The following is a 24,192-nucleotide window of genomic DNA, read 5'->3' as shown; positions in this document are numbered from 1 at the left end:
ATAGGCCTGGAGAATATGCTTAAATCAGAAACCAAGGAAATTATTGAAACTACTAAGGTATGTTAAAGAACTCAGCATCTAATGTAAAGAGATTTCCTATGGCCCAAGATGAGAATTTGAGCACAAATAAGAATAATTGCAATTACTGAAATACATCAGGTATTTTACAATTCTTAAGTTCAAAATAATAAAAACGAGAGAATTTTTTTTCTCATTTTGGAGAGGAATGATAGTGAACCAACTTATTTCAAAACTGGTAAAGAAAACATGAGTTGGGACAAATTAGGGGACTTAATCAAACATTTAACCCATCCTACTTATATGAACTATATGCTAGGGTAGCCAGATACTTAATTAGAGGATGTTTTCTTCATAGATTGGAGTAATTTAGGCAGCTAGAGCTTTAATGTAAACAGTATACTACCATATATGGTAATAATAATTGCACCCAAGAATTAATGAGTGCTTTACTAGGTACAGGGCACTGTACTAAACATGATGTGTATGTCATGTGCTTCAGACCCTATCACAAACTGTAGGTTAAAACCATTATAAAAGTGAGAAAACTGTCATTTAGAGAATGTGTCCCATACATCCGTGAAATACTTGAATTGTGAATTAAATCATTCAACCCAGGTTATCTTACTCAGTGGCCTGCCTTTTTAACTATCTTGAATACCTATGATTGAAACAAGTCAAGAAAGTTAGGAAAGAAGGAGAAGGAGTGCCTATCCCTCTCTTTGGGGATAAAGAGAGGTTTTCAGGAAGAAGTGATGCCTAAGCTAAGATATAATGGATAGTTGTATTTATTCACAAAGGAGTGAGGGAGAACATAGAAAGAGCATTCTACACAGAAGGAACATCTAGAATGAAGGCCTGCTAGCTTGAGAAAAGATGACGTATCAGTCAGTTACTGTTATGCAACAAACCACCCCAGACATCAGTGGTACTTAGCTTTTTGCATATGTGGGGTTCATCTAATCGATGTTATGCAATGCTGGTATTGGCTGGGACCGGTCATGTGTCTGTGGGTCTCTGCTCCGTGTATCTCTCATCATTCACCTGGTACAAGGCCTTTCTCTTAGCAATGGCTGAAGAATAGGCGGGAATATAGAAGCAAGACAGTGCTTGAGAACTAGAGAGAAAAGCAGTGCGCCATCACTTCTGCATCGGTCTGTTGGCCAAAGTTATCAGCGGATTGAATGCAGTGGTAGAGAATTACACTAAAACCAGAGAAGGCACTGCAGTTTCATTGAGAGGGTGTAGATAAGCGAAAGGGTGAATAGTCAGGGCAATCACGAATGCAAATATAATGCACACAGCTAGGAACTGAAAGTGGACATAATAGCTGCCACTAGAGATGCTGGGGAGCTTACAAGCAAAACAACTGTAGAATTTAGCCCAAAGTCTATGTTAGTGATGTTTGTAGGGAAATGCAAGATGGTAATATTAATGCCACTACACTGGAGCAGTTTCCTCTTTGCAATATCCAGGGTCCTTCTTTTCCCTCTCATCTTGTAATGGTCGTCCTGAAAGTTTATTTCTCAAATTTGTAAATTCTCTAGAAACCAAGGTGTCCCTGAGGCCACTGCACCACCAATGCACTTGACTGTGTACTGCTAATCAGCGTCTCTGTTCTTCTACTTTTACTAAATGACTCTCAATGTGTACCAAAGTGATGGGAAGAGGAAACAGCATTTTCTGTTTCAATGGTGTGCACGCTATCCTCTAATTCAGAAACTTTCAGCCTCTTGTCACAGAGCCAGTTCTCCTGACCACACACCTTGGTTTGAAAATCACAACATATGGCCTGTTTCTAATCACTTCAGTTAGGGAAGGTGCTCTTTGATTTTATCTAAATTACAGTGCCCAAAGTGTAATGAATTTGCTCTCCCTTTCCAGTTGTCACAGGGAAAACCAGCTTAGAGAGTATGGGAGAGGTTTAAAGCTTAGAATGAGAAAGATTCAGTCAAGTGTCATTTTCAGAGGGAAAATACATTTTTCCTTAGTCACAGTCAGGCTTTCAATTCTGGAAATTCTAAAAGTATTTCCATGTAAGACACTTAATTACATTATTATTATTATTATTTATTGTTTGCCCTAATGATTTCAAAATATCCAGAGATGAATGGAATTCCTTTTTCAGAAATCACAATAAACACCTAAAATCTTTCCATCGTTTTAATTCAAGCTGATTCTGTGATATTCTATCATTATTTGTGACTTGAGGGCGGAGAAAATGTCTCTGAGGCAAAAATTGTTTTTTAACCAAAAATTATTTCATGTTATTGTTTGTGAGAGCAAGAGAGTATAGACACATAGGATTGGATTTAAGAACTGGTTTCTTATGGGCTACGGAGCCATGGACAGACAGGTTAGAATCTTAATATACATATTAATAAGTGAAAAAAGCCAATCTGAAAAGACTACATACTATGTGATTCCAACTTTGTGATATCCTGGAAAAGGCAAAACTATGGAGCCAGTAAGAGGACCAGTGGTCACCAGAGATTGGTTAAGCACAAAGGAATTTTTGGGCAGTGAAAATACTCTATATGATACCATAATGGTGGATACAGGTCATTATACATATGTCAAAACCCATAAAATGTGCAACACCAAGAGTGAATCCTAGTATCATCTATGGACTTTTGGTGATACTGATGTATTAATACATGTTTATCAATTGTAACAAATGTACCCACTCTAGTGGGGGATGTTGATAGTTGGGGAGACTGTGCAGTGGTGGGGGAAGGAGATATATGGAAAATCTTGGTACTTTATTCTCAGTTATGCTGTGAACCTAAAACTATTCTTAAAAAAATTAAGTCTTGAAAATGGTTACTTTGAAGTTACATAAAAATTCGTGAAAATATATGCAAATACAAATAATAAGAAAAGAAAAAAATAGTATCAGACATTTTCAAGTAAATAACTCAAACAATACTAAAATATAATGTAAAGTGAAACCTGAATAAAACTTAAATCCTCATCTTTTTGTGAAATTTATTTGGACCGATTTTCTTGACTAATAACCAATACTTTACACAGAATATATCAGTTTATTTAAATGTGCTTCTTTTCACTTTTTTTCATCTCAAGACACTTTAATCTACCCATTCCCCTTTAAAGTTTGATATGCCTTCTGGCCGGGCATGGTGGCTCACGCCTGTAATCCCAGCATTTTGGGAGGCGGTGGCAGGTGGATCATTTGAGGTCAGGAGCTCAAGACCAGCCTGGCCAACATGGCGAAACCCTGTCTTTACTGAAAACAAAACAAAACAAAACAAAAATTAGCCGGGTGTGGTGGCGCATGCTTCAGTCCCAACTACTCAAGAGGTTGAGGCCGGAGAATCGCTTGAACCCAGGAGGCAGAGGTTGCAGTGAGCTGAGATTGCACCACTGCACTCCAGAAAAAAGACTCCGTTTCAAAAAATGAAATGAAATGAAATAAAATAAAATAAAATAATATAAAATAAAAAAAGCTTGATATGCCTTTGAAAATCTCTTTTGATCTTCAGATACTTCCTCTAGCCCTTTAATTTCCTTATAATTTACCTGTTGAATAATGTCAGTAGTTTAGCCAATCTATCTTCTCGGTTGGGATCTTGCTGACTGCCCAATCATGGTGCAGAGCAACATGTTCCCCCGTCCTCTGCATTTCTTGCAAATTGGCAGATGAATCAAGGGACTTGGTCAGAATCAGGTTCAATTTCTTTGGCAAGATTGATTATAGGTGGTCATTGTGGAAAACAGCTTGGCAGTTCCTCAATGAAGTTAAATATAGAGTTTTCATATGACTCCATTAATTCACTTCTAGGCATATACTCAAGAAAATTGAAAACGTCCAAATGTACATCCACATATATGTACATTTTGTAGAAAATATACATAGCAGCATTATTCATAATATTCAAAAAAAGTGAAAAAACTCAAATATCTATCAACTGATGAATGGCTAAACAAACAAAAGTGGCATATCCTTACAGTAGAATATGTTCAGCCACAAAAAGTGAAGTCCTGATCCATGCCACAACATGGATAATTTACGCTAAGTGAAAGAAGCCAGTCACCAAGGTCACAAGTTTGTGTGGTTCCAATTAAATGAAATATCCAGAATAGGCAAATCTCTAGAAACAGAATACAGATTCGCGGTTGCTGGGGTCAGGGGTGGAGACTGAGAGGGGCTGCTGATGGAAAACAGGTTTCTCCTTGGGGGGTGAAAATATTCTGGAATGAGATGACGGTTCACAACTTCATGAACACACTAAATACTAAATGCATCCAAAAGGTGAATTTTGGGTATGTGAATCATAGCTCAACTTAAAAAAAAGATGGTGTCACAGCAAGTGCCTAATGCCTTAAAGTCTTTTTAATGATTTTAGTGCGTTTTGATGCTTGAAATCTGGAACCATTAATTCATTGGGGATTGCAAAGTGGTGATATTTTTAAAATAAATTTTTAAAATAAATTTTTATTTTTATTTTTTTAAATAAAATTTTTTTAAAAATAAATATTTTAAAAAATAAATATTTATTTTTATTTTTAAATTATCAATTTTTAAAATAAATAATTGAGATTCTATCATCCTTCAAAAAAAACCAGTTAGTATATGTGTGAACCACACACACACACACACACACACACACACACACACACACAATTATTAATCCACAAATGGAAACCTGCTTAATAGATTGTAATCTGTTGCAAGTATTATCCTTTTTAAAGTTCATATGATCTCATCTTTGGCCAGTGGGAACCTCTACAAATAGGCTCCTAAGTTCATTTGACATAGCCATAGTAGTTTTTATTTTATATAGCTTCCTCATTCATTTTGTACATTTTCTGTGTTAAAACTGGAATCAGCCATTTCCCCAATAATTCTTGATTTCTTGCAGCAGGAAATGGTATTAAAAAAAAAACACAGTCTCTTGAGAACGGGCCATGATGACAATGGCGGTTTTGTGGAATAGAAAAGGGGGAAAGGTGGAGAAAAGATTGCGAAATCGGATGGTTGCTGTGTCTGTGTAGAAAGTAGTAGACATGGGAGACTTTTCATTTTGTCCTGTACTAAGAAAAATTCTTCTGCCTTGGGATCCTGTTGATCTATGACCTTACCCCCAACCCTGTGCTCTCTAAAACATGTGCTGTGTCCACTCAGGGTTAAATGGATTAAGGGCGGTGCAAGATGTGCTTTGTTAAACAGATGCTTGAAGGCAGCATGCTCCTTAAGAGTCATCACCACTCCCTAATCTCAAGTACCCAGGGACACAAACACTGCGGAAGGCCGCAGGGTCCTCTGCTTAGGAAAACCAGAGACCTTTCTTCACGTGTTTATCTGCTGACCTTCCCTCCACTATTATCCTGTGACCCTGCCAAATCCCCCTCTCCGAGAAACACCCAAGAATGATCAATAAATACTAAAAACAAACAAACAACAAAAAAAAACCACAGTCTGAAGTCTTAAAATGCTCAGAGTCACTGGGTTGGTTGAGGTTTCAGAACTCTTTCAGGATATATATATGCGTATATATATAGAGAGAGAGAAAGAGAGTACATATCTTTATCTTTGTATATAATACATATCTGTGGTGTGTGTATGTATATATAGGTCTATGTGCGTATACATACACATACATTTTCCTAATATCTTCCTATATAATACATACCTGTGGTGTGTGTGTATATATATGTGTGTATGTGTGATATGTGTATATATCAGCGCTCTGTGTCTAGCTAAAGGATTGTAAATGCACCAGTCAGCACTCTGTAAAATTGACCAATCAGCACTCTGTAAAATGGACCAATCAGCAGGATGTGGGAGGGGCCAAATAAGGGAATAAAAGCTGGCCACCCAAGCCAGCAGCGGCAACCCGCTCGAGTCCCCTTCCACACTGTAGAAGCTTTGTTCTTTTGCTCTTCACAGTGAATCTTGCTGCTGCTCACTCTTTGGGTCTGCACCACCTTTAAGAGCTGTAAAACTTGCCACTAAGGTCTGTGGCTTCATTCTTGAAGTCAGCGAGACCACGAACCCACCAGAAGTATATATATCCTACATAACACAGGTACGTGTTATATAGGAAGATAAAGATATGTACTCTTATAATATACTTTAACTATATATAATTGATATATATGACCTATACTCAAATATTAAATTTAAAATACATCTTGAGTTCACTTAATATTTCTATTTATTTTTTCAGTTTTCTTCTTTTGTTGAGATAGGGTCTCCTTCTGTCACATAAGCTGGAGTGCAGTGGCTCGGGCATAGCTCCCTGCAGCCTTGAACTCCTGGGCTCAAGCAGTCCTACCCACTCAGCCTCCTAAGAAGCTAGGACGACCGGTGCATGCCACAGTGCCTGGCTAATTTTTAAAATTTTTTTGTAGAGACAGAGTCTTGCTCTGCTGCCCAGGCCAGCCTTGAACTCCTGACCTCAAGCTGTTCTCCCCCATCAACCTCCCGAAGTGTTGGGATTACAGGTGTGAGCCACCATGCCCAGCTCTAATATTGCTATTTAAAACACAAGGCTACAGGATTTAACTCTGCCTCTTGTATCTCACATATGTGTCTCCTTTTTTATACATCTGCAATGTGAAATATGCTTTACTTGGACACAGACAATGGTAGAAGTAAAATATCTAATACTCATTTACTTTTTTCTAAATTATACTCAGAACCATTTCAGAATAATATACTAATAGTGCTGCCATCAATCAAATTCCTAAGAAAAAACAAAACATTTTGGATCTGCATCCTCCAATCTCTTCCTCATCCATTTGTGGTTATGTCATATATATCATATCATATATATATATATATATATATATATATATATATATATATATATATGGTCTGAACATGCAGCCCCTTCACTGATGACTTTAAACAAACAGGAAAATGTAGAAAAATTGTGAATTATATTATGTATTCATACATCATATATTTCCTTAATGTCTTTTTACTCATTATTAAACATCATGCTCCACTTATAATCTGCTGGTGGACAAGTGTATCTGGTATTGAGAGGTGAAGCCAGCTGGGCTTCTGGGTTGGGTGGGGTCTTGGAGAAGTTTTCTGTCTAGCTAGAGGATTGTAAATGCACCAATCAGCGCTCTGTGTCTAGCTAAAGGATTGTAAATGCACCAATCAGCACTCTGTAAAAATGCACCAATCAGCACACTGTGTCTAGCTAAAGGACTGCAAACGCACCAGTCAGTGTTCTGTGTCTAGCTAAAGGATTGTAAATGCACCAATCAGCACTCTGTAAAAACGCAGCAATCCGCGCTCTGTGTCTAGCTAAAGGATTGTAAATGCACCAATCATTACTCTGTAAAACGGACCAATCAGCACTCTGTAAAATGGACCAATCAGCAGGATGTGGGAGGGGCCAAATAAGGGAATAAAAGCTGGCCACCCAAGCCAGCAGCGGCAACCCGCTCAAGTCCCCTTCCACACTGTGGAAACTTTGTTCTTTTGCTCTTCACAATGAATCTTGCTGCTGCTCACTCTTTGGGTCCACATCACCTTTAAGAGCTGTAACACTCACCATGAAGGTCTGTGGCTTCATTCTTGAAGTCAGCAAGACCATGAACCCACCAGCAGGAAGAGAAACTACAGACATATCTGAACATCTGAAGGAACAAACTCCAGACACACCATCTTTAAGAGCTGTAACACTCACCACGAGGGTCCGCAGCTTCATTCTTAAAGTCAGTGAGACCAACAGCCCACTGGAAGGAATAAATTCTGGACACAGTATGTTTTATCATCTGTAGGAAAGATGTTTTACATCTTAATATCTTTGTTTCTTATGATAACTTTGTATGGCATTTGACCTCAAAATAATATTCTGTGAAATATTTTTATGTGAATGAGTTGTCCTGAACTTTGGAAGGGGTCATATCTCAGAGTATCATTTAAAAAATTTTTTTTGGTAATCGACGCACAATAACTTGTACATATTTTGGGATAAGAGTGATGTTGTGGTATATATAATGTATAGTGATCAAACCAGGATAATTAGCATATCCATCATCTCAAATGTTTATCATTTCTTTGTGTGGGGAACAGTCTATGTTCTCCTCCTAGCTGTTTGAAACTATGTATTATTGTTAACTATAGTCCTCCTACAGTGCTATAGAACCCTGGAACTTATTTCTCCTGTCTAGTACTTTTGTAATTCTTTAGCAAACCTCTCCCTAGTCCCCTTCCCTTTCCCCTTTCCGGCCTCTAGTATTCTCTGTTCTACTTATTTGTTCTATGAAATCAATGTTTTTTAGCTTCCACATATGAGTGAGAACATCCAGGGTTTAACTCTCTGTTCCTAACTTATTTCATTTAGCATAATGTCCCTCAGTTGTATTCATGTTGCCGTGAATGACAGAATTTCATTTTTTAAGGTTGAATAGTATTCCATTGTGTATATTAATATACACCACATTTTCTTTATCCATTCATCTGTTGTCAGATACTTAAGTTGATTCTATATCTTGGCTATTGTGACTACTGCTGCAATAAACATGGAGGTATTGTGACTACTGCTGTAATAAATATGGAGGTGTATCTTTTTGATATACTGATTTCCTTTCCTTTAGACAAAAGCCCAGTAGAGGGATTGCTGGATCACTTCTAACTTCACAGAGGTTGCTCTTCTGTGATATGTGCACAGTGTTCAAAAACATGAGCGCTCACTGGCTGTGTTCTTCTCTGGACTTTGATCTAGACCTTCTTTATCCTTTTTTTTTGTCCTTGTTCTGCTCAATATTGATTCCACCCCAGCTGTTTCTTTTCAATTTGAGGCCCTGTCCTGGAAGGGAGTGCTGAAAGGTAAGTTTTGAAAGTCCATGGCCTGCTGTGAACTCGTGGGCTCTTTTGTTTACCCTTTCCTGGAGATGCCAAAACTCTCAGTGTCGGCTGTTGTTGACTCAGGCACATGTTGGCCTGCCTGAGTCCCAGCTGGCTTTTTTGGATTTCTCTGTTTTCAGAATTCTCAGGTTCCATCAGACACCCCATTACTTTCCTCCACATTTTACTACCATGAAGTTTTTATGAATATTGACAGTTGCCTTTATCCACAGTATTTTGGAAGTTTTGAAAACCCTTTCACTTGTTTTATTTATAAATGATATTATGAGGTTTTTGGTTTTGTTATTTATCAGTCAAGTATGTTTTAATAAAAGGATTTAGAGAGTTTTTAGCAAACAACGCCACCGTGGTTTCCATCTTCCCAGAATACTGCTTATTGGTTTCTGAAAGATCCAACTTATTTAGAAAGAACTCTAACAGTGTATGTGCAAAAATAATCACTTAGAAATAACTGGAAAAACTAAATTTCTTCAAATGCCCATATTACAAATTTATCTGACCATAACTTTGTGAAAATAGTTGGAATTTTAAACAATCTCTAGAAGGACAATCATTCTTTGAATTCCTATTGACTTTGTAAGTATAATATGATCACCTCTAGATAATCTAATCAGCGATATCATGTGATTTACTCGGTATAGTGACATGTCTGGAAACTACCCACTGTAAGATTGATCACGTTTTCTGTACTGGGAAAAGTTACTGTACCGTTACAGAAAAGTTTCAGAACAATCTTTTAATCTTCCCAAAATCATAAGGCTTAGCTCTGAATAAAACCTTTTTTATTTCCACGTTCCTTCAGAGATTTTTGTTTGTGTGCTCTTGTTTAAGTCTTAGTATCGAATAGCTTCATTAGATGAAATTTGACTGAGTTCTCCATTCTACAGAGTTATTCGTACACTTTCAGCAAACATGATAGAAAGAAAAGTGGTTGTGTAAAAGAAAGAGTGGACTCACTTCCTCAAATCTGAATTTACCCTTCTGTAAAATACAAAGGACAAAAAAATGAAATAATTAGCATGAGACTTCTGACTAGAAATTAAAAAAGAATGTGATTTGTTAAATATTAAATACTTAATGTAAATTCCAGTAACGTCTGCAAGTAATACTATTTCTGCTAATATTGGAATTTTTCATATTTCAGGTTTATGCTAAACTCTTTTTAAAAGACTTCTTTTTGTAAATATGTTGTCATTTTTTTTTCTGTGGTACCGACTGATTAAAAATGGGGCATTTTTAATTCACCTGCTACTAAAAATGTGTCTTATGTTTCTGTGGAAACTTCCGTGAGGAATTCAGGAAACATTAGAACTATCAAACTCACCACAGCATGGAAACATGAGGGCATTTTACATTTTGTGAATGCCATCATAGGAAGTCAACAGCCACGGCTGTAATTGCGATTTAAATAGGATTCTTTTTCTATATTTTACCATGAAATCTCAATCTGCCCACTATTTTCTATTTTCTACTGGAGTATAAAGACAGGTCAAATGAATTTCTTTGACTTACCTTGAGTTCTATTCCATTCCTCTTCTATTCTGCTCCTATTCGCCTTGTCTAATCGGTGATCCACACACATTCTGCCTCTTTGTATATCTCAGCAAAGACCTTTCTTCCAGTTGCTGTACAAATATTGCCAAGTCTTTTCCATGTAAAGACAGATTCCACAAGAAGATTTTCTGGGCAAGTTATCACACAGTTCCAGGACTGAGGAATGGAAGAAAAAGCCATTACAGGCTGAGGATTTGAGCAGCGAAGGTACAAGCCCTCCAGGCCCATGCAGACTCTTAATGAGACAAGTTATACAGTGGTTTCTCTGCTGCAGCAGCTTCATTGGAGTGAATTGTTAAAAGGGAACACTTTTCTGGTTTGGTTTTGCATGGCAGCTAAAAATGGCAAAAAACGTCCCTTCTTTTTAAGTTCAGGTTCATAAACTTATGAAAAAAATAGACAAAAAAATTAATGGATGAGTTTGCCTATATACCTTGCACCCAGTAAAATTAAGTTCCCCAAGTGGAAATATTAGAGATGTGTTAGATGTAAAACTAGAGAGAATGATAGAGCTAGCCCCCAAGGACAAGGCACCGGCGGATTAGCCCCATCATTCTCTTTGGGGTTTAGTGAAGGGAGGTTGGACTATCTTCCATAAACAGACTCTTTGAGCAAATGTAATCTTGCTTTATGTACAGTGATAAGCATTGAGTTGAATTCTATTCCACCTATTAAACAAATTCTGTAAGGGGAAAAATGTAAGTTGATGTAAATTTTTAAAAATATTAAGCTCAACATTCAGTAAACTGTTGCATATATTTAAATAACTTATCACTGATCTGAACTTTGCAGTCATAAGGAATATACCTTGTCATGCTATTTAACTTGAAAGTGCAAGGGAACACAGCAAAAGCTTCTTCATTTTTAACCAGTTGGATGCCACCATTTTTCCTATTAGAACTTTTTCAAGTTCTCTTACAAACCACTTAGGATTTGCTGACTACAAAAATTCTTTATATCAAGTTTTGTAACGAAATTCTGAAGGAGGAATGTTCCTTTGTTTTCTTTTTAATTTTGAATCACAGTACACACATCAACTGGGAATCAGAGATGTTTTTCAACTAAGTTCATTTAAGTTACTGCGGCAGCTGATCTTCCATTGGAAGGGATCAGCCCACAAAAGCAACAAAATTTGAGCCAGGAACAAACGTATTATAGAATCTCCAGGCTCCAACCTTGCAAATTTTCTTTTGCACAACCTCTGTGGCTTACATTACTAATCTGTCTCTAAGCATTAACTCTATTCATCAAGAGCAAAACATTGTTATTCAGCATTCTCTTGAAATGTCACTATCTTGTCCAGGTCAGATAAACTTGGATAAAATCTTCTTTCAGGAATTTTTGTAGTGCTCAGTTTCCCACAGAAAGTGCATCCTCAGTAGCTAGACGTAGATTTAAGGTGTCTAAATTGCTTTATTACTTGAAAGTGTTTCTTAAATCTTTAAGGCAATTTAAACCAGCTGTGATGAAAAGAAATCGTCATTCTGAAATTTAACTCTTTTGTATCAGTACTTTGCATAATTATTCCTTTATGATGAAGGCCTGGGAGAAACCCTTAAAATTATCCAATACAAAAGTCCGAATTTTATAAAAGAGGAAAATAAGGTTCTGAGAGGTTAGGATCACATGGAAAGACAAGTTCACAGCAAATTCCGTATTTGCTGCTTTAAACTGCCAATATTCATGGATCAACCAGCTGAGATTTTAAGATGAGAAGAAAACAGTTCTGGGGGCAGAAAATTAAGGTTTGAATCTTAGCTTTCCCACTCAATAGCTATATGACTTAAATCTCAGCTTTCTAATCTACTGTGTTAGATTACAAAGAAATATGGATTTGGAATTGTTAATTAAATTTTCCTGCCTTTGCTTGAACAAGAAGCTCAGGTAGAGTCATTAGTCCAAAGAACCCCTGTGGCATTTTTCTTCAGAGTCCATGGCAAAGATTCTGTTGCTTTTTTAAAAAAAACTTTTTCCTGATATATTCTTTTTCCTTTGAATCCGCCTCTTCTCATGCCAACAATGAAAGAGCCAGATTTTTACATTTCCCAAGTTGCTTGAGGATGCCTCTGGAAGCTGCATGATAACCAAAGGTGAAACTCCTGCTGGTTAGCCACTGAGCCTGTCTTTAGAGAAGTCTTTACAGCATTGACCTGTGAAGATGAAATCTCATCCACAGAAATGATTCATTTCTGCCTTCAAATACATTTAAAATTTCTTTAAAGGGTTTAATTTTTTAAAGCTCTAAGTAATTTTAATTCTAATTAATGTCTTTACTAAATTTTTAAAGCTTTATCTTCTATTTACTGTTAATCAAGTTTTCAAAAAGGTATTCACGTATTTTATCTAAATTGATAACATTTACTTTTTTTTTTTTTTTTACTAACTATGGGTTATAAATTATGTGAAACTATAAAATCTAGGCCACTGTTTTAGATAGGTTAGCTCTTAATGTTTGCCATTATTCATATTTTTAAAATCTCAATTTTCAGCTTCTTTTGAAAACTCAAAAACTCAGGTGACATCTTCCATGGTAGCATATGGCTGGTTCCACCTGGCTTTCATTCTTTCAGAACGGACAAATACTCTGAAATTCACCATAGTTTTCCCCCAATCAACTCACACATAGATGTCATTTGTTAACTTCTGTGGACATTTGCATTTGCAATATATTCTTTTCAAATGGGAAAAAAAAAAAAAAAAAAAAAAAAAAAACTGAAGGCCAAGCTAACTTGCTCACACTTTTCTTGGGAAACAACTCCAGGCCATCTGTGAGGAGAAAATGCAATTTTTTAAATGTCAAAGCACTTTGAAAGCACCAGATATTAGCAAAGGCCTCTTATGTTACCTGTATTATATATACAAGTTTAACTGTAACCCAGTCAGATTTAGCCTCAACCAAGAGGGAAGAGTCTTTTGAATGAGAGATAGAAGAGCAAAACCTAGACAATGAATCATCCAACTAAAAATAGGCAATATATTAAATAGTAATTTTCAAACGATGTCAATTCTGATGTAAACAATTTGTCTAGAAGTAGAAAAAACAAAACCACAGGCTCTAAACCATCCAAAGACTGTTTGTGTTCTGTGGGCAGTGTTGCGGCGTTTTCATGTGTTTATAAATTCCTCCCATTTCAGGGATGCCCCATGACATTTACAACAGAGGAATCCCCTCTCAGAGAGACTTTCTGTAGTGATTTAAATAATTCCACAACAGTCAGAGGTTAGCTAACAGGAGTTTCTGACTGCTCCTTTATGGAATGTGGTTGGTCTGTGTGCACGTGGGGTGTGTATGTTGGTTCTTATGGAAATCCAATTACTGCTACGAGTCTTGCAGAGATTAAAACATTCTTAAATGATCCCAGCTTTTACGTTCACTTAGCTGTACAGAATTATATCACAAGAAGATATTCATAAAATAGAATAACTGTGAATCACCGTGTTTATTGCATAAAATGAGAAAAATCTTATTAGTAAACAGAAATCTAAGGAATTCAAGTAATAGAGCTAGGCATTGTTTTAAAGAGCTTCATTTGGATACAATTTATATATGTTACAGTTCATCCACTTAAAAGTGTGTAATTCAATGGCTTTTAATACAGTCACAGATCTGTACAAATTTTACCACAATCAAATCTAGAATATTTTCATTACTCCCAAAAAAAAATCCCACACTCCTTAGTCATCATCCTCTAATTTCCCTATTCCCCCAGCTCTAAGCTACAAGTAATATATTTTCTGTTTCTATGTATTTGCCTATTCTGGATATTTTATATAAATGGAATCATAGAATGTGTGGTCCTCTGTGACTGGTGTCTTTCATTTAGCAGGTTTTCAAGTTTCATGTGTTTGAGAACGTACCAGTAGGCATTCGTTGTTATTTAAATTTACAATTTCTTCTTACACATTTTGCATCCCCTCTTAATTTTTCATGTGTGAGATTTTATATATATGTCTATGTGTACAGACATGTATATGTACACATTTCTATACACATATTTCATTTTTCCAATTATAGGAATCATTTTAGCTGAGTTAGGCAGCTCTAAAATTAAATCATTAGTATGTAATATTATTACACATATTATTATGCAAGATGCAGAGGAAAGGGTAATATAAATATTTAAGTGCCAATAACAGATGTTGCTGGTGACAAGGATGGGGCAATTCTATGTTTCAAAAAATACATTTGCACAATGGAAATAGAAAGCAGCAGGTTCCATGGACTTCAATTCTGTATGTGTTTTTAAATTATAATTAGCTGGGTAGAGGGTTCGATTTACGGAACAGGAGGAGATTGTCCTCTTCAATGCCTGCCTGAATATCTCCTTCCATTAAATTACAGGATGACTTGTTTTTGGAGTTTCATCTCTGGCTGAACACTTTCAATGTGTCACAGTGAACGCAAACCGCTTCCACAAAATAGCTTTGATGTGGTGGTGGATTAGAGAGATTTTTAAATTGCTGCTTGGGCTGAAGATTAAACCAGTTTTAAGAAATTACTGACTAATACCTAGTTTTATTGGAACTAAATTCAAAAGGCTGTTTCCAAAATAAATAAAGAACAGATAAGCCACCACATAAAGCCAACTCTTGTGTGTGGATGTGTCCTTTGTCTCAGAAACCGATTTGAGAGTACAGATTTTTTCAAAACAATAATACTTCATTCATATCACTACACATATCCCAAACCAATTGATTTTCTAAAAAATAAACTACAAAAGAATGGGGGAAATTAACACAGTTTGCAAAACATGAAAATTTTACTCTATGATACATAACACAAAGCATATTCTTCTTCTTTGTTATTTTAAATTGAATGAATAATCAAGGGAAAAAATCAAGAGTTTCGATCCCTGGATCCATGTTGCAAATTATTTCCTTTTAAGTATGTGTTCCATAATTCAAAACCTGGTCACATTTTGCTTCCCACTGACATCTGAGGTGCAAGGCTTGCCAGGTATGCCCATATGACGTCCACCTCTCACTTGGAGTCTAGCTTTCACTGCACTCCCCTGATAATACTGTAGCAAATGCTGGAGATTTGTGATGTAGTTAGTCCACACTTTAATGCCTTTGTGATACAAAGAAAACCCCATTCCTGTGGTGGATTTTTGTTGGGGGATGTTGGGAAGAGCTTTCAAGAAGCCAGTTGAAAGCACTGCTCTAATAAGTTAACAAGTGAGCTTCCCATGAAGTTAGTTACACAAAGCCCAGGAGGCTCAGCTACCTGTCAAACACATAACTCAGGATTCCGGAGACATCCCTGCACTGAATGATTTGAGGTCAGTCTTAGATGTGAAAATGGTAAAACTTTTTATGTGTCATCAACTTGACAATTGTCAAATATCAACCTGACAAACTGGGCACAGCTTTCCCCTTCTTATTAATATTAACACTGAGGTTTGAAGTACTTGGCCCACAGATGTGCAGATAATAAGGGGTGCAAACGTATTTTTAACCAGGCCTCTAAAATTTCAAAACAAGCCAGATGATCATGCCATACTTCCTCTCAAGCTATACACTGGATTGTCCCCATGGTTGGGTTTGATCTGATTCTGCCTGGCCTTGAAATCTGATATTAAGCTAAAATTTGGTTAAGCTTAAATAAAATAATTTTATTGCTTACAAATACATGTAAAGACCTCATAACCTAACTAACCAATATTTTAAATCCTTGGCCCTATTTTTAGATAAAGAATCAAATTATATGTGGCAAGGACTTTTGCTCACCTATCCAAACCTTTCCTCTTCTCCTTCAGATTAAAAAAAAAAAAAAAAGAACACACACACACACACACACACACACACACACACACACACACAAACACACAAAACATGATCAGGATAAGGTGACCTCAGGCCTAGGAGAAAAGCCACATTAGTCTAAATTAATTACCACGAGTTTTTCTGGCAATTATTATTGATTTGGGTGGGAAAGGGGCAGATATTCAACTTAAATTGACTTAGAATGAATGAAAAAATGCTATTGGCAGATGTTTTGCAACCATGAGAGGATCCAACTTTAGGGTAAAACCTGAGCTGAAGACAGCAGAACAACCTGTGTCCTTAATATCATTATACCACTATTGGTATCATCCTTAGAACCTCTCTTACCTCTTAAATTTTTGCTGTTTGGACATAATAACTTGATTTATTGCTAGACCAGTTTGAGCAAGGATGTTTTGTTACTTGCAGCCTAAAACATTCTGACTGATACATATGTCATATTTTGTTTTAGGAAATTTAGTCATTGGTTATATTTGCTAAATTATTTGTTTCTCCCTGGAGATGCTAAAACTTATTGGATAGGTTATTTTTCCATTTTCTTACTCTTCAAAGAGTATCCAGAACATACTGTACAAAATTTAGCTGAGCAAGGAAACAGCCAAACTATCAAACAAGCAAATTCCAAGTTTCCAATTCCTAGGAAAAAAATTAAAGAGCTCAAAATGAGAGGGAACTGGTGAGTCAGGCAGTCCATACATAGTGGCTCGGGATAGGCTTTAAGGGACTCATCTACCTGGTGTAGCTGCCATAATCCTTTCAGAGTTAGATATTAGCTAAGGGCCCTTGCCAGATTCTGGTTTGGGTATGCACAAGCTATTCACCAGTAGTCCTCTCACATAATCTCTTTTGAAAGTGACAACATGTTGCTGAATATTTTTATCACCCATAAAGGAACTCCCTACCCATTAGCAATCACTCCCCAGACCATCTCTCAGCCTCTGACAAATACTAACCTATTTTGTGTCTCTATAGGTTTGCCTAATCAGGACATTTCATATAAATCAAATTGTATAATAGGCCTTTTGTGCCTGGGCTTCTTTCACTTAACAAAATGAATTTAAGGTTCATCCATGTTGTAACATTAATTAGTACTTCATTTTTATGGCTGAATAATATTCTATTGTATGTGTACACCACATTTCTTTCCTCATACATCAGTTGATGAACATTTGGGTTGTTTTCATTTTTTTGGCTATTATGAACAATGCTACTACAAACATTTGTGTACAAATATTTGTATAGACATGTATTTGGATCTCTCTGTGGTATATAAATAGGATTGGAATCTTGTGTCATATAAAAACTCTATGTTTTAGATTTATTGAAAGACTGCAAACTTTTTTTTAATCCGCTGTACCATTTTACATTTGCACCAGGATTATGTGAAGGTTCTGATTTCTCTACCACATATTATTATCTATCTTTTATATCGTATCCATCCTCATGGGTTGGAAGACATCCCAGTGTTTTGATTTACATTATTTACACGTTCCTAATTACTAACAATGTTAAGAATTTCTTTATGTGGCTATTGGCTATTTGTACTTTCTGTGAAGAAATGTTTATTCAAATATTTGGCCAGTTTTTGATGATATTATTTGTCTTTTAGTTGCTAAATTGTAAGAGTTCTCTATACATTTTGGATACTAGATCCTCACCAGATATATTACAGTTGATCCTTAAACAACTGGAGTTTAAACTGCATGGATCCACTTATACAAAGATTTTCTACCACCTCTGCCACCCCTGAGACAGCTTCCTCCTCCTCCTCAGGCTGCTCAACTTGAAGATGACAACAAGGATGAAGACCTTTATGATAATCCACTTACAGTTGATGAATAGTAAATGTATTTTCTCTTCCTTATGATTTTCTTAATAGCATTTTCTTTTCTCTAGCTACTTTATTGTAAGAATATAGTATGTAATACATATAACATACAAAATATACACTAATTAACTGTATAATCAGTGAGGCTTTTGGCCAACAGTTGGCTATTAATAGTTAAGTTTTGAGGGAGCCAAAACTTACATGTGGATTTTTGACTGTGCAGTAAGTCAGCACCCCTAATCCTGCATTGTTCAAAGGTCAAGCATGGCAAATATTTTCTCCCATGTTGTGGGTTGTCTTTTTAACTAATTTATAGTGTCCTATAAAGCACAGAAGTTCCCAATTTTGATGAAATTCAATCTATTTTTTATTTTACTGCTTGCATTTTGGTATCATATCTAAGAAACTATTGCCTAAGCCAAAGTCATGAAGATTTACATTTCTGTTTTCTTCTAAGTGTTTATACTTTTAGCTCTAATAGTTAGGTCTATGGTCCGTTTTGAGTCAATCTTTGTGTATGGTGTGAGGTAGAGTTCAAGCTTCAGCCTTTCCCATGTAGGTATCTATTTGTTCTAGCACGATTTGATAAAAAGACTATTCTTGCACTATTGAATTGTCTTGGAAAACTTTTTGAAAATTGGCCATAATGTGTGAATTTGTTTCTGTAGTCATCATTAGAGTCAATCAATGTCTATTCTGTGCCAGTACCACACTATCTTGATTACTATGCAGCTTTGCAGTAAATTTTAAAAATCGGGAAGAGTTAATCATCCAAATTTGTTTTTTTACCCTAAATTGTTTAGGCTATTCTGTGTTCTTTGTATTTCCATGTGATTTTTAGAATTACCCTGTCAATTTCTATTAAAAGGCAATTGTGATTTTGCAAGAAATTGCATTGAGTCTTTAGATAAAGTTGGAAAGTATTGCCATCTTAACAATATTAAGTCTTCTAACTTATAAACATGGAATATCTTTCATTTATTTAGCTCCTTTTTAATGTTTTTAGTGGAATAGTTTATAATGTACAGGTCTTACGTTTATTTTGTTAAATTTATTATTTAATATATTATTCTTTTTTACATGATACAAATTTAATCATTTTATTAACCTTATTTTCACAATAGTGCATAGGAATATAAATTATCTTTACATATTCACTGTTTTACCATGCAACCTTGCTGAACTTAACTCTCATAGTTTTTTAATTAATTCCTTATGATTTTCTATATACAGGGTCATGTCATCTGCAAATAGAGATAGGTTTACTTTTTCCTTTCCAATCTGGGTGGCTTGAATTTCTATTCCTTTTAAGTTCATCAACACAAATTTATAATTATTGTTTATGCAATTGACTTTAAACAGATACAAGATAAAAGTATTTACAAAAATATGTTTATGTTGTCTATTTATATTTAAGTACATTGTTATCCTTACTGGTGCTTTTTATTTATTCATGTGGATTCAAATTATTGCCTAGTGTCCTTTCATTTCAGCCTGAAAGATCCCCCTAGTATTTCTTATAGAGCAAGTCAGCTAGTGACAAATTTGCTTAGTTTTTGTGTATTTAGAAATGCCTTGATTTTTCTGCTATTTATGATGGATATAGAATTCTTGGCTTGGTGTTGTTTTTTTCTGCTCCCCACAACCCCCATCCTGGCTTTCAACAGTTTGATTGTGATGTGTCTTGGTATGAATTTCTTTCAGTTTATATTATTTGGAATTCATTGAGCTTCTTTGATGTGCATATTAATGTTTTTAATAAACTTTGGGCTTTGGAGTTTTTCTGCCATGACTTCCTCAGTCTTTCTGCCTCTTTCTCTCTATCCTTTTCTCTGAATCTCATATTATGCGTATGTTGGTACACTTGGTCTCTCATAAGTCTCCGAGACCATTCATTTTTTTTAAAATGTTTTTCTTTCTGTTCCTTATGCTAGATAATCTTACAAATTCAAGTTCATTGATTCGTCTGCCTCTTCAAATCTGCTATGAATTTTTATTTCAGTTATTGTACTTCTCATCTCTAGAATTTCTATTTGATGCTTTTAAAAACAACTTTAAGAGCTATGAAAAAGCTATTAATGGCTTTATCTCTTTATTTGTATAGCCTTTAGTAAGATATCATTCTGATCTTTTTCTTTATTCTTTGTAACCTTTTGAAAATAACTAATTTAAAATTCTTTGTCTAGGAAGTAAAAACTTTGGGCTTCCTCTGGTACAGGTTCAACTGACTCCCTTTTCCCTGAATATGGGCCTTATTTTCTTGTCTGTTTACATGTTTTATAATTTTTAAACCTGATAATTAAAAATAATATAAAGTTATAAATGTAGGCATCAGATTTTTTCTCCTCCCCAGGATTTATTGTTGTTGCTGTCTGTTGCGATTATCGTATTGTTTGGTTAGTAGCTTTTCTGAACTAATTTTGTAAAGCCTGTATTCTTTGTTATGTCTAACTTACTAGTCAGCTAATGATGTCTATCAGCTGTAACTGTCCTCATCTTTACCAAGTGACTGTGTACATCTTGGATTATGCCTTCAACTCTCAGCCAAATGTTTTACAGCTCTGATTTGGTCATCACTTCCTGCTTGTACAGAATCTTGTGGTTGGCCAGAGGTGACAGCTTAAAACCTTACCAGATCTTCAGGATGCACACAGCCATAGGCAAGTGCAAAGGCCTTCATATGCACATAGCCTTCTAGATTCACAAAAATATGTCAGAGCTATTCAAAGTCCCCTATGGATCTCTTATTGCCCATCTTTCTCCTTTCAGCTTTGTGATTAGTCTGTTGTTGTCTCAACTGTTACCAACCATCTCTGGTATTCATAAGGTTAAACAATTGACCCTGCTTGCTTTTTTGATAAATGCTTCTGGAGAAAGGGCTGTTTGCACTGGTTAAGTTCCAAGTCAGGTCAAATAAATGTGGTGTTGTGAATTGGGACTTCCAGGGAACTCTCAGACAGGTCACATTATGACAATTCTCTGCGGATTGGGTATTGAAGTAGCTCAATATAGTTCCGCCCCCTCCAGTGGCTTCCAGGATACTGGCTTTCACTATGATGATGGACTGTTAGTTTACAAGGCTATTGCAGAGCTGGGGAGAAAAGATGAGGATAGGGCAAGTTAGAATGTCACAAAGTCTTCTGTTTGAGGTTAAGAAAACCATTTTTTCTTGAAACAACACTTCTTGGATTGCTATAAGTTTATGATTCATTTCCAGAATTCTGAAAAAGTTGATTCTGACAAGTTTTGCCAGTGTTCTCTGCTTTTATGGAGGGAAGAAATTTCAGAAAGCATTTATCTGACATTTTGCTTTGATTTGCATCATCATAGCCATTTTAAAAGATGTCTCTGATACATCAATTCATTGACAATTATAAAAATTGGCTTCAATATGTTAACATAGCCATATTCATTGGCTCTTAGGATATTTTGTTATGTTCTCTGTATTCCAAGGCTTAATTAACATTGGGTCTGCGTAAGTTTTTCTTTCCAAGGTTCTTTTTCAAGGGACACAATCTTGTTTAGGTTAAAAATATAGAAAAGAATCTTATCCCCAGAGAATTTATGGTTGTTTATCACGTGTGTCAGAGTCAGATATAGGCAAGAGGAAAAAAGGCCTAAAACTGTGTTTTGTATATTAAAACCAACCTTAAAAAGCTGAAAGAAAATGAACAATAGAAAAAGTCTGACAAAAAATCACTTGTATACAAGTGACTCTGTACATCTTGGATTATGCCTTCAATCCTTAGTCAAACGTTTTACAGCTCTAATTTGGTCACCACTTCCTGCTTGTACAGAGCTTGTAAAAATCTGGATGATATCATTTGGAGAGTTAATCAAAACATTATTGTATTCTGGTGAACATTTATATGTTGTGTTGTTGAGTTTGTGTACGTTTGTGGCCATGAATGATTTATTTTCCTAACATGCAAAGTTTAGAAACCACTATTTCCCAGATTTGACAAGGTAGCCCATGGTACTATACTAAGCATGTTCATGCCTTTATTCATTTAATCTTTGTAAGAATCCATAAATGGTAATGTTATTATGGATGATTAGTATGGAACTCCGTATGTTTAAGTAACTTGATTAAAGATATACATCAAGTAATTGATAGAACTAATATTTGAATCGAAGTCTAACTTGGTGCTCCTTAGAGAGTTCTCAACCGCTCACAAATTCGAAGCGTCAATCAGAACTCTCTTCTGTGAGCACTCTAGACTTCATTGCTTGAAAACCCGTAAAGAACCTAATATTTGCAGAGTTGTGATCTCAGAAGAATGAGCAAGGTTGCTTATAGTACAGTTAGGGAGACAGGTGGTAAGTAATTATGCAGATAATGTTGATAAATGCTATGTAGAAAAATGAGACATAAACATGAGGGTGTAATAGAGGAAGCTAATTTAGATTGTGGGATTAGTGAATGATGAGTTGAATATGTGACATTCACACTGAGCATTGAAGTGAGAGTAAAACAAAACATATAGAGGAAACATTAGGTTAGAAGGAGTTCTTGATAGGCAAGAAACAGAAAAAGTCAGGATAAATGAAGCACCATTAGTGATGGAGGACCAAAAGGAAACTGAAGAAATAGAAAAGCAGACATCACGCTGGGATTTACAGGCTTTCATAGCAATGTTTACTTTCCTAAGAAAATTAGGAAACTGCTAGACGTGTTTAAGGAAGACAGTAACATAATTAGATGTGCACTTTGAAAATATTACTTTGAATTACTACTTCCTGAAATATTTTTGCAACATCTTGTGGGTCTATAATTATTTCAAAAATCAATGTTTTTTGTTGTTGTTTTCATAAGGCACAAAGAAACAGAAAAAAAAAATACTCATTCCAACTGTAAAAAATGAATTGACGGGGATAAGGTAGAATCAGGGGAACCAGGTCAGATGCTATTACAGTGGTCCAGGCCAGGAGTAATGGTGCTCTAGCTGAAAATATTAGAAAGAGCAGTGGAAAGAAGGGGGAGATTTTGAGATAGGTGCTGGAGGTATGGCCTATGTGAGGAGGACAAGTGAGAGTGAAATGCCAAGAGGAGCTCTCATGGGTACCCTAATGATATCATTTTGTGAGATGGCTAAAACTGGAAGAGAAACAATGCCACTAGAAGGCAACTAGAAATTAGATTTCTTATGTGTGATATTTGAAATGCCTCTAAAATGTCCAAATATTGATATTAACCACACAGTTGGATGTATAGGTTTTAATTCAGAAGGTGTAAACTTCCAAGTCTTCAAGGCATAGGTAGTAAAGTCATGAGTTCATCAAGGGTAATAAGGTAGAATGGAGAAAGGAGGACAACACCAAGTTTTAAAGAACAATAATACAGTTAGGCACTGTATAAATGCATTTCAGTCAATGAGGGACTGTATATGTGATGGTGGTCCCATAAAATTAGAATACTGTAATTTTACTATACCTTTTCTATGTTTATCTATGTTTAGATACATAAATATTCACCATTTTGTTACAATTACCTACAGTATCCAATACAGTTACAAGCTTACAGGTGTGTAGCTTAGGAGCCATAGGGTATCCCAAAAAGCCTAGGTGTGTAGTAGGCTATGCCATCTAGGTTTCTGTAAGTACAAACTATGATGCTTTCACAACAAAACCACCTAACAACATGTTTCTCAGAATGTTTCCCTGCTGTTATGCAAAGCCTGACTCTATTTAAAGACTAGATCAATTGGGAAGGACCATCAAAGGAAGCTGAAAAAGTTTGGCTAGTAAAGGGTTTATATTCTAGGACAAAAGATTTACTAGCCAAGTCCAGCCATCAGCAATTTCTTGGGGTTAGTTACTGTGATTTCATAGGAACTGAAACATGCAAAGGGGCAGCAAGTTTTACTGCCTCGGTGTGTTCAAGATCTGTAATGAAGTGTTTCTACTGTGAGCAGCGTGGAGAAGCTTTTCATCAGCACTTGGCTTTGGCAAGTAGTCCTCAGAAGTCCCAAAATATTGAAGTGCCAACATCCCTTTCGCTGCTAGAGTCCCTTCTGCTTGAACAGATCCAGAGATTGGAGATTGCTAATTTACTGCTTCCTGAGGCTTCTTTGGACAGTTGAGACTATTAGAAAACTCTTCCTTATACTCAGTTAAAATCTGTCATCCTGTGGCTTTCATCCACTATCCT

At 35.8% G+C, this 24,192-nt stretch overlaps 1 long non-coding RNA gene across 2 annotated transcripts in view; it reads right to left on the bottom strand.

Moving 5' to 3' along the window:
• LOC105376942 (uncharacterized) overlaps positions 1–24,192 on the bottom strand; it is a 150,192-nt gene that overhangs the window by 82,598 nt on the left and 43,402 nt on the right. Inside the window, exons 3-4 of one of the 2 annotated variants that reach the window (XR_940579.2) lie at positions 10,385–10,582; positions 7,690–7,776 (exon numbers count right to left, since the gene is read on the bottom strand). This is a non-coding gene — a long non-coding RNA (uncharacterized LOC105376942). Of the gene's footprint in view, positions 1–7,689; positions 7,777–10,384; positions 10,583–24,192 lie in introns of those variants that run through there. The other variant, XR_940578.3, reaches the window with a different exon arrangement.

The sequence above is a fragment of the Homo sapiens genome, chromosome 3 (assembly GCF_000001405.40).
Source record: "Homo sapiens chromosome 3, GRCh38.p14 Primary Assembly".
Lineage (NCBI taxonomy): Eukaryota > Metazoa > Chordata > Mammalia > Primates > Hominidae > Homo > Homo sapiens.
The sequence above is the reverse complement of the archived record's forward strand: the minus strand, read 5'-3'. Positions and strand labels throughout refer to the sequence as shown.